This window comes from Homo sapiens, chromosome 1, assembly GCF_000001405.40.
Source record: "Homo sapiens chromosome 1, GRCh38.p14 Primary Assembly".
NCBI classification, from domain to species: domain Eukaryota; kingdom Metazoa; phylum Chordata; class Mammalia; order Primates; family Hominidae; genus Homo; species Homo sapiens.
Genome location: NC_000001.11, coordinates 64,014,555 through 64,026,630, shown reverse-complemented (window position 1 = coordinate 64,026,630; position 12,076 = coordinate 64,014,555). Strand labels below are relative to the sequence as shown.

Here is a 12,076-nt window from a genome sequence, read left to right as displayed (position 1 = left end):
GTGAGTCAATTAAACCTCCTTTCTTTATAAATTACCAAGCCCAGGGCAGTTCTTTATAGCAGCGTGAAAATGGACTAGTACAGATATATTTTGGCTTTCTTTATTAAGCATAAATTATACTACAAGATACTGCTTTGAATACAGCATACACAGTTTAGAAGCATAGAACTAAAGGAAAACTTGAGTCATAATCAAGTCTAAAATGACCACACATAACTGCTAAATAAAATAGCATTGATGCCCACTTGCTCCAGCATTTAGCTTTGTCTGTCTCAAAGTTAGAATGTGTAATAATAGTAATTTTTGAACCCCCATTTCATAGATGATAAAACTATAGCTCAAAGTGATCAAGTAATTTACCCAAAGCCATACAGCTACTGAGTATAAGATTAGAAACTCAGGCCAATCTTACTGCAAAGTCCAGAGAACAGCCCCCAGCCACTTTCTGAGCAGAAGAGGGAATAAAACACAGAAGAGTGAGAATGAAGACAAGTTGGCTCAACATAAGAAAGGCCTACCTAATTTTAGAGTTTCTCAAAAAGAAGAATAGGTTATTCTTGTGTAATGTCACTTAAGAAAGTGTTGAGCTAGAAGGAAACGCCACTTAAAAAATTATTTCCATACCTTTTGGGGGAACAGGTGGTATTTGGTTACATGAGTAAGTGCTTTAGTGGTGATTTGAGATATTTTGGTGCACCCATCACCTAAGCAGTAAACATTGAACCCAATTAGTAGTCTTTTATCCCTCACCCACCTCCCACCCTTTCCCCCAAGTCTCCAGAGTCCATTGTATCATTCTTATGCCTTTGCATTCTCATAGCTTAGCTCCCACTTATGAGTGAGAACATACAAGGTTTAGTTTTCCATTCCTGTGTTACTTCACTTTGAATAACAGTCCCCATTTCCATCCAGGTTGCTTCAAATGTCATTAATTCATTCCTTTTTATGGCTGAGAAGTATTCTATCATATATATATGTGTATATGTGTGTATATATATATGTACATATGTGTGTATATGTGTATGTATATATACATATATATATATCTCACAATTTCTTTATACACTCATTGATTGATGGGCATTTGGACTGATACCACATTTTTTGCAACAGCAAATTGTGCTGCTATAAATATGTGTGTGTAAGTATCCTTTTTGTATAATGACTTCTTTTCCTCTGGGTAATGGGATTGCTGGATCAAATGGTAGTTCTATTTTTAGTTTTTTAAGGAATCTCCATGCTGTTTTTTCCATAGTGGTTGTACTAGTTTATACTCCCACCAGTAGTACAGAAGCGAGGAACCACCACTTATCAGGCTTCTGGAAGACGGGAATCACGTTATCAGCCAGGAGCTCACATTATACGACTTCTAGAGGTCATTCAACTTGGAGATTCCCTGAGTCTAGGTTGTGGAGAAAAGTTGTCTCTGGCACCAGACTAATCTGCTGCCCTTCCTAGGGGTGGAAATATTGCTCAATTTGATTCAGACTGAAAAGGAAGTGATTACTTATAACACCTTAAAGAAAATATAAGTGACTGTTTTGATCATCTTGGAGAATGGAAGGCTTTTCTAAGCATGACACCAAAGATTGATAGATTCAATTTCATAAAAATAAAATTTTTCCATGTTAAAATATACATGCAAACAAAATTAAAAGTTAAACTAGAAAAAATGCAGATTTCAAACAAAAGATCAGTATCTTAATAGTAGAATGAGAAAAATTAATATGTTAGAGATAAACTGGCTACTAAACATAAAAAATTCAACCTTAGTTATCAAAGAAATGGAATTTAAAATAACAATGACATACCATTTTTTTGCTTTTAAAATTGACAACAACCAAGAAAATGACAATACTTAGTTTGAGTGAAGGTAAGTAGTAGTAGAATAGGACATTCTCCTGCACTGTTGCTAGGGATGTAAATATGCAGAGAGATTTAAGAGAACACTGTGTAGTAGGTACCTCCATGAGGCCAGGTACTGTCCTGGGCCCTTTAAGGCATTTATCATCACCCTACTATTTATAACACAAAGCTAGAATAATTCTAACTTTTCAACAATAGGTGATAATAGGTTCAGTAAATTACTGAATACCTCTACAATGGAACACATTTGTTTTTGTTTTTTTTGTTTTTTGTTTTTTGTTTTTGAGATGGAGTCTCACTCTGTCTCCCAGGCTGGAGTGCAGTGGTGCAATCTCGGCTCACTGCAACCTCCGTCTCCCAGGTTCCAGTGATTCTCCTGCCTCAGCCTCCCAAGTAGCTGGGATTACAGGTGCATGCCACCATGCCCTACTAATTTTTGTATTTTTAGTACAGACAGGGTTTCACCATGTTGGCCAGGTTGGTCTCGAAATCCTGACCTTAGGTGATCCATTTGCCTCAGCCTCTCAAAGTGCTGGGATTACAGGCATGAGCCACTGCGCCCAGCTCCCATTTGTATTAGTCCATTTTCACACTGCTATAAAGAATTACCTGAGACTGGATAATTTATAAAGAAAAGAGATTTAATTGACTCACATTTCCACATGGCCGGGGAAACCTCAGGAAACTTAGAATCATGGCAGAAGGTGAAGGAGAAGCAAGCACTTTCTTTACAAGGTGACAGGAGAGAAAGAGAGAGAGGAACTGCCACACACTTTTAAACCAACACATCTCATGAGAACTCACTCACTATCACAAGAACAGCATGGGGAAAACCGCGCCCATGATCCAATCACCTCCTACCATGTCCCTCCCTTGACACGTGGGGATTACAATTTGGATTACAATTCAAGATAAGATTTGGGTGGGGACACAGAGCCAAACCATATCAACATTTAATATGGCCAATAAAAATGATGTTAAAAATATTTAATGACACAGAAAGATGCTTGCGAATTTGTTTCTAAGGGACAAATGTTGTTTACAAAAGAGAATGGCTCAATATGATTCCTTTTCAGTAAATATATCTGTAAAAATATATGCATTAAAAAGACAAACAGTATCTGTTAGCAGTAACATAATTTTGGCTTCATTTTACTTTCTAGATTTTCTACAATAAATAAATATGTTTAGATATTGCAAGAGCTAGTTTTTTGTTTTGTTTTGTTTTGTTTTTAAAGGAAGAAAATTATTTAAGGATAAGGGCAATAAACAGTACAGGTGACACATCAGGCCCACCTTACCTTAAAAGAGCTGAACAGCTGGGAGCCATCTCTCTTCCTGCTATTAGTCTCCTGCCTCAACTGGCCCTGGGAAAGAGGACCCAAGCTGTTTAGCTGGATTCTGAGGTGGTCTTTCAAGGTTTCCCCAGGTCTTCTCCAAATTCCTCTCTCAGTAGGATGAGGGCTGCTGAGAGCTAAGAAGGCACTGTCTAGCTAGTCTGGGTGGACTGGAGGGATGGGCTACAGTGAGCTCCTCTGACTCGATGCAGGATGCTAGCATCCTTCTGTTACTCAGCACCACTGCAAGGGCAGTATCTCAAGGTCTACCCAGGGTTTACCTGCGATCCAGCACAAAAGTCTGATTCTACTATCTTCAGCAGTATTTGATTCCTATTGGGAATCCTTAGCAGAAAAATGCCTGTCACCAGTAGAAAGGCTTTCCCTGAGCTCGTGTCTTCAATAGATGATCGCATTATTAGAGTTTTCCATTACCTCAACATTTCTCCTAGCCCCAGCCCAAACATTCCTTTTTATATAAATAAATGTTATTATAAAGTAAAAACAAAAACAAAACCCCCACAAACAAAAAACAGCAATGTCAACATCAACAGAAAGCATGGCCTCTAAATAGACACTTTACCAAGATTTCACCCCTTATGCTCACAGTTCTTTTAACACAGATGCTTGGTAAGCAGAGATAATTTCAGATCACCTACTGTTTCTTGATGTAAAAATAAAGAGACATATATTCAAGTCAATTTACATTTTACGAAGCACAACATTATCATATTAGGATCTGGGAATGACTTCGTGTAGACATTTTTACCCTTGTGTGACAACTGAGGACACAAGAAGTCCAGAGAGGTTTAGTGAATGGCCTGGGGTTACCTTATTAGTGGACATGCCAGGGCTCTTACGGGGAAATGGGGCTGTAGCACTAAGTAAAAACAGTTAGCGTTGCAATGTTAAATTCATTTTTGTAGCCCTCAGAGACCTGGCAGTACAGAAGAATAGCAAGACCAAAGCTCTTCATTGTGACTGTTTTGTTTATTTAGAGTTTTCTTATTTTTGTTTTATTTTGGCAAAAGTCACTTAACACAAAATTAACTGTTTTAAAGTGAACAATTTAGTGGCATTTAATATACTGACAATGTTGTACAACCACCATTTCTATCTAATTGGAAAACAGATCTGGCAGCCCAAAAGGAAAGTGTGTACCTATAAAGCAATTGCTCCCTTCTCCCACTCTAGCCAGCCCCTGGCAACCAATTCAACTTCTGCCTCTATGCATTTACCTCTTCTGAATATTTCACATGAATGAAATCATACACGTGACCTTTTAGGTCTGGCTTCTTTCACTCAGCATAGTGTTTTTGAGATTTATCCATGTTATGGCATGTATCAGAACTTCATTCCTTTTTATGGCCAAATAATATTCCATTGTATGTCTGTACCACTCTTTGTTTACCAGTCATCCCACTGATGGACATTTAGGCTGCTTCCATCTTTTGGCTATTGTGAGTAATACAGCTATGAATATGTGCGTACCTGCATTTGTTTGAATACCTGTTTTCAATTCTTTGGGGGTATATATGAGTTTTACAATTTTTATGTCTTCTACTTATTTTTTATCTGACTATAAGAGTATAGGATATTTATTAAAGAAAGTATGAAAATCAAAGAAAAAAGACAAATAAGAAAAACCACCTAAGGGTAATCAAGAATATCCCCTTCCAGAAAGGATATCCTACCAGCAAAAAGCCTTCTAAGCCTGTTCCTTCTTTCCTCCCTATACACACAGATTATTATTTTAGAAATAAATAGTCACTGAGAACATGGACTTGGTAGCCAGGAAAGCCTGGATTTGAATTCTGGCTCTGCCATTTACTAGCTGCGTCACTTTACCTTGAACTTGTTTTCCTGCCTGTGAAATGAACATAATAGTACCTACCTTGCAGAGTTTTTATGGCACATTAAATGGTGCTCAGGAAGTGTCAGGTATAATAGTACTTCCCACACAGGGATTTGCTAACTCCACCAGAAAGTGAGGTTCATGAGACAGGAATTTTGTATTTTCACCTCTGTATCAGCACAGTGCCTGCCACATGACTGGTACTCCATAAATACCTGTTGAATGTATAAGTGAATGTAACTATTGAGGACATTGGGGTTGAAATTAGAGTCCTAGGAAGGATCTTTGGGAAGAATTCAGGTCTCTGAGTTCAGAAGACAAGTAAAGACCATGGATAGAAAAATCTTGTAAGTCAGTTTTAATTCTATACAACCATAGTCCAACGGCCAGAGTTCGTCTGGTCTGACTTTGGGCCCACAGATAATGAAATCATGAGTTATTTGCAGCAATTAGGGCAGAGGCTAGGAGGCCTCTGAGGTATGCGGGGATTTGAACTTCCTAAGCTGCTAGATCAACTAAGGCTTGGGGCATTTTTTTTTTTTAAGCAAATAAGCATTTGACAGAATAAACCCAGACAAAGAGATACTTAAGCATGAAGCCTTGACAGAAACTTCCCTGAAGTAATATAGCTTGGAACTAAAGAGATGATTAGTGAGCTTCTCATGACCCTACAGGAAATCTTGCTTGGTACAGGAACACAACATTTTCGAAGTTTGTCTAAAAGAAGTTTTCACACACTCCACTGCCTCATAATAATGTCTGCAACGGGTTGCAGAGCTCGCCGTCTGCTGAATTCTTTACTGCCTTTCTTCTTTTGTGGGTCTTTATCCCCAAATAATCTGTTTGTGGACCAACTTCTGCAAGCTCAGGAGGGCTAAAGTGGAGCTGTAAGCCCTCAAACCCTCAGTAAACAGGCCAGAGGGAATGAAGAGCTGACCTCTACCTCAGCCATTAGCTGGGCCTACCTAGGATGGATCTGATCCTATATTCCAGGATAAGTCTTATTTTTTCATTCATCTCCTTTGCAGCACCTATCATTGCTGGAATTAAATGATTTTCAGTATTTCTGTGTATGTGAAAAACCTTGTCTAAAGTTTTTCTCTTCCACTAAATTGTAGAGTATCCAAAGGGAAGAATGTTTCTGCCTTTTTCATTTTTGTATCTTCAGCCAGTACAGGCCTCGTCCATGGTAGGCACTGAATAAACATTTGTTGAATAAATGAACCTAAGACATTTTATTACAAAGTTCAATTCAGCTTAAAGGCAACATAATATATTGATTAAGAACATGGGTTTGAATTCTGGGTTCACTGCTTTGTGACGTAGGGCAAGTTGCTTAAATCTCTCTTAGTTTCCTGATGTTACTTTAACAAATTATCACAAACTTAGTGGCTTAAAGCATCAGCAATTTATTCTTTCACATTTCTGGAGGCTAGAAGTACAAAATCCAGCAGAGCCACACTCTTTCTGGTGGCCCTGGAGTGGAATTCATTCCTTGTCTCTTAGTTTCTGAGGGCCCTGGCATTCTTGAGCTTGTGGCTGCATCACGTGATCTCTGCTTTCATTTTCACATTGCTTCCTCCTCTGTGGGTCCATCTAAAAACTCCCTCTGTCTCTGTCTTATAAGGACACTTGTAGGCATTTAGGCTTCTGGGGATAATGACGGATAATCTCATCTCAAGATCCTTAATTTAATTACATGTGCAAAACCCCTTTTCCAAATAAAGAAAAATTCACAGGTTCCAGAGTTTAGGACATGGACACATCTTTTGCAGGCAGGATGTCACTATTCAAAATACGACTTTTCCCTAAGGCTCAGTTTTTCATCTGTAAATCTGTCACAGTATCTCAGAATTTTTATGAGGATTAAATGTGACAATCCATGTAAATCACTTAACATGGTTCTTGGCATATCATAAGCCCTCGATAGATGGTAGCTATTAATAATTGGTATTATTTCATGAGAAAGGGAGGTGTTACTCCCGATGTCCATAAGGAACAAGTGATGGAGTTATGCCAACACATTCAGATATTTTAAAAATATATCAATATCACTATCAATCTACCCTTTTCTGTATTTATTTTATGAGTTCTGGGGCTTGTGCTTAGCCGTCTCACATATGTCATTACATTCTGTACTTACAACAACACTTGAAGGCTGGTATTCTCCCCATTTTACAGATGGGGGAAAAAATCCAGATCTTAATATTCAAGAATCTGGAGTTAGCCACAGAGCTTAAATATAAACCAAGGACTTCTCACTCCAAGCCCAGGTCTTGTCTACATTACCTCAGAAAATTGAGGACAGAAATTGACAAAGTGCCAAGCACCTATACTTGTATTAATCACTTGTTAGAATATCATGAAGAGTCAAACTACAAGGCAGGTTAGCCTAGAAGAACTCTAAAGCAGTGATTCTCAAACTTTGTTGCACACTAGAATCACCTGGAGACCTTTTAAACCTCTCAAATCACAGGCTATACACCAGACCAATAAAATAAGAATGAGGGGAGGAGGAGAACAGACCCAGGCATTAGTAATTTTTAAAATTCCCCAGGTGATACCAATTACAGCTGAGGTTAAGAATTACTGCTCTATCACTGGTCCTCAAACTTTAGTGGGCATCAGAGTCACCTGGAAGATGGTAACAATGGAGGGGAATAGGGTCTAGCCTGATTCAACGAACCCGGGTCTCTCCAAGTGACTCTAACACCCACCAAAGCTTGAGGACAGCTACTCTAAAGTAACTTTCGGCTCCCGTATTCTGATTTTCACCACTCATTCATTTCTCTCTTTATTCAAACAACTGCACTAGATGTTGGAGAGATAAGGATGCATAAAGAAGACATGACTTCTGATCTCAAGAAGTTCACAGCTTGACACGCTGTTCTTTTCTCTCTCAAAGCCCTCTCCATACTGCTTTTCCTGGTCAACCTCTCTTTGAATGGGAGACACATGAGGGCCTTGCTTGAAATGACGAAGATCTTCAATAAAATTTCTTGCATGAGGAAAGAAGAAGAATGGGGAGAAGAAGAGGAAGAACATACATGCAAACAAGCATCACCTGGCATGGGGAGGAACAAGGTGTGATCATCAGTGGGAGAAGGTGGAGTCAGGGAAGTCTTCTTGGAAGTGGTGAAGTGTGAGCTGGGTCTTTAACAATGACAAAAGGTTGGGGGAGGGTGTTCTCATCAGAGCAAATAGTAAGGTTTGCACAGATGCTTGAAATAGGATGTTGTGTTTTAGAGCACAACAAGCAAAGGTGGAGAAGGAGAAGCAGGAAACTGAGGGAGGAGCCCCATGGTAAAGCACTTTGTATAATCTCCGTTTCCCCTCCCTTTAGCCAAGCAGACCTTTTAAGTCCGAAAGTCCCAGCAAGTCTTTAGATAAGGTTAACCAAAGCTGTGGGCCCAGGGCTAGGAAAGACTTCCATGATCCCTGTGAGCAGGACCCTAGTCCATAGGTTTCTGGAAGTACCTTGAGGCCAAACTGTAAAGCCATTTTTGAAGTGGGTGCAACAGGAGGAGATAGGCTTAAATCCAAACTAAAAGACACACAGGCAAGGAAAAAACAGCCTGGGAAAAAGCCAGACACTCTTTCTCTGTGACTGCCTTATTATTTATGAGTCCAGAAATGTGCCTCGTCTTAGCCAGTAATTACTGAAAATAGTACCAAGGGAGTAAGGAATCTGAGACTCAAGATATAAGGTAGATAAGCTCTCTCCTCATTCTAAATGGTAAAAACAGGAGCACAAACACTTCCAAGCTTGCTCGGTTGCTCACCTGCCTGGGCTGGGGCAGCGGTTGCTGGGAGGATGGAGGTGGGGTTCTATGCTGCTCACACAGCCATCTGCAGAGCACCCACAGGGCCTCGTTCCTCTAGGCTGAATGCCCCCCTAACAGCACAGATGGGGAGATGAGGAATGATGGGAGGGCTTGGGTGCCAAGAGCTGGAATAACCGGCTGGAAAGACCCCTACATGGTGAGGAAGACCCTTTCTGCTCCATTGATGGCTGGATGGCAGGGGGGCTGATGGCAAATCTCTCCCCTTTGAGCAGGTTTTGAAGAATCAAGATGGACCATAAACGGTCATTTTCCCTCTATTTCCGGATAGAATTCCATATCCCTCATCTTGCCAATGCCTTTCCCTAAAGTGAATAGACTTGTCAAAAAGGATTAATACCGGTCTTAGAGAGAGAGAGCTGCTTGGTCAAAGGGAACTGATTTTCATGTTGCATGCTTCTATACTGGGTGTAAGCAAAGGGAATAAGAGCTGGTTGCCAGCAAAGGGATACAGGAGATATACAGCAGGCAAGAAGCTCCCCGCATATATCCAAATCCCTGCTCTCCTATCAGGAAGGTGTTCCTGGCTGAGTGTGGTGGCTCATGCTTGTAATCCCAGCACTTTGGGGGGCCGAGGGGGCAGATTGCTTGAGCCTAAAAGTTCAAGACAAGCCTGGGAAACATGGTGAGACCCCGTCTCTAAATACAAAAATTAGCTGGACATGGTGCACCTGTGGTCCCAGCGACTTGGAGGCTGAAGTGGGAGGATTGCTTGAGACTGAGAGATGGAGGCTGCAACGAGCCATGATCACATCACTGGACTCCAGCCTGGGCGACAGAATAAGATCTTGTCTCAAAAGAAAAAAAAAATAATAATCCCTATGTGTTTTTCGCCTTTTAACCCACAATATTTTTCTCCACAGATGAGAAATTACTCCAGATATTGCTTGTCTCTAATCATATTAGTGGTCAATTTGTAATCTAGTTATAATAATGATCAGACTATAATCAGTAATGATAATCCCTTACACATAAAATCTTTATATATATATATATAATTATATTTTAAGTTCTAGGGTACATAAAGCATTATATACACACACACAAACAAAATCAGTGTTTAGAAACATTTCTTTTTATAAAAAGTAGTTCCTAGAATTTTAAAGCTGGAATGGATATGAGAGCATTTCCTTTTGCTGCAAGGAGGAAACAGGTTACATTTACCTAAGGTTCCAGCAATTGTTTCCTGAGAGCAGCATTATCTAATAGAAATAAACTGTGAACCACAAATGTAAGTGAGAAGTGTAATTTTAAACTGTCTGCTAGCCACATTAAAAGGGATCAGGTACTATAAATTAATTTTAATGTATTTTACTAATTCAATATATGAAAATATCATTTCAACATGTAATCAATGTAAAAATTATTAGTAAGATATTTTCTTTTCTATATTAAGGCCTTGAGATCCAGTGTGTTTTACACTGATGCTACCCCTCACTTTGGACTGTCCACATTTCACATTCTCAATAGACATAGGTGGGTAGTGGCTACTATACTGGTTCACGCAGCATTGGAGTCTCAAAATGGGTAATGCAGCCAGAACAAGGATTGATGCCTCCCTTTCAACAGGTGAAAACCCTGAGGCCCAGAGCTTAAATAGGTCATTGACCTGGTGATGGAGCTGAGCTGGAACTAGAACCTAGATTCCTTGTTAAAGTGCTGTTTCCTCAAATCATGCTGCCCTCCCCTTGGGAAACAGAAGGGAGTTGGTGGGGAGGGGGCGGTCAAGAGAACTACCAGTAGTGAGCACCTATATATGCTAGAGACTGTGATGAGATTTATATTTTATTTAATTCATACACCAGCCCTTTCAAGTACATATCACTCCTCTATTTTCCATATGAGGTTAGAGAGGCTCTAAGTGTTTTAGTAGTTGATAATGGCAAGGTGACAACCTTTAAAGAAAATGGTGCTATCAATATTAGAAAGATGTTGCTTACGACCCCAACCAGCTACCAGTTTTGAAGCTGGAACACAAGGATGGATAAGCTCTCAGACACCCCAGTCCTAGGAAGACTGTTCATCAGCTTGCCACGTGCCAAGAGCCAAGGCAAGATCCAGTCTATCCTTACAATACCACCTTCAACCCATAGCTCCAAATATATACAATTAAAGCACAAGAAAACGACTCAGTCACCCCATTCTGACTAGCTAAGCATCAAGCTCTAAGCTATAGGCCAGTCAATACCATTTAAATAGACCATGTGCCAAGGACAAATCAAGTAACAGAGTGGGGACAAGAGGGAGCAAACCACTCCTGAGCTAGAGAACCTGGTCATAGGCCTTGATGGTGAAGCTTCGAGGGAAGAGGCAGGCCAGGGGGCTGAGTCTAAGATGTATCTGTATGTTGTGACCGAGCAAGCAGCTATCCTATCACAACATGGGCATGAATCCCATAGACATGCTAGTTGGCTAGGAAAACCACCTTAGGTAATTGATATGGTTTGAGTGTCTTAACCCAAATCTCATCTTGAATTGTGTCTCCCACAATTCCTATGTGACGTGGGAGGAACCTGGTGGGAGCTGATTGAACTATGGGGGCAGGTCTTTCTTGTGTTGTTCACGTGATAGTGAATGAGTTTCATGAGATCTGATGGTTTTAAAAACAGGAGTTTCTCTGCACAAGCTCTCTCTTTGCCTGCCACCATCCATGTAGGACTTGACTTGTTCCTCCTTGCCTTCTCCTATGATTGTGAGGCCTCCTCAGCCATGTGGGAATGTAAGTCCATTAAACCTCTTTTTCTTCCCAGTCTCGGGTATGTCTTTATCTGTAGCATGAAAATGGATTAATACAGTAACAGATACATATATCTCCATCCACAGGTGAGCAAAAGGAAGCTCAGAGTCATAGTAACTTTAGAGCCCATGTTTATAAGACCCACACTGCACACTTCCCTGCTAAAGCTCCAACCTGGTAAAGAAAGCCATTTGAAAAGGCAAACCAGGACAAAATGTGTATATATATATATATATATATATATATATATATAGTGTGCGTATGTGTATATATATATATAGTCTGTCAGCACAGAGAACTATTTGCAGTTGGAAACAGGCCTCAGTATTTTTTTTTTTTTAAGTAGTAGGTTCCCTCCATTTCTGCTGCCTATGGGAGCAATTTCCAGCCCCTTCTCCAAAAGAAACATTTGGCTTTCTATAGAGAACCTCTGAAACCT

General features: G+C 40.0%; 1 protein-coding gene across 4 annotated transcripts in view; it reads right to left on the bottom strand.

The window, feature by feature from the left end:
* Nucleotides 1-12,076, bottom strand: part of ROR1 (receptor tyrosine kinase like orphan receptor 1) — a 407,482-nt gene that overhangs the window by 154,868 nt on the left and 240,538 nt on the right. The window contains exon 2 of one of the 4 annotated variants that reach the window (XM_017001377.2): nt 3,168-3,233. The exons of the other annotated variants lie outside the window; for them this stretch is intronic. The gene's annotated coding sequence lies outside the window, so the exon portion shown is untranslated. The remainder of the gene's footprint in view (nt 1-3,167; nt 3,234-12,076) is intronic. 4 annotated transcript variants of the gene reach the window in all.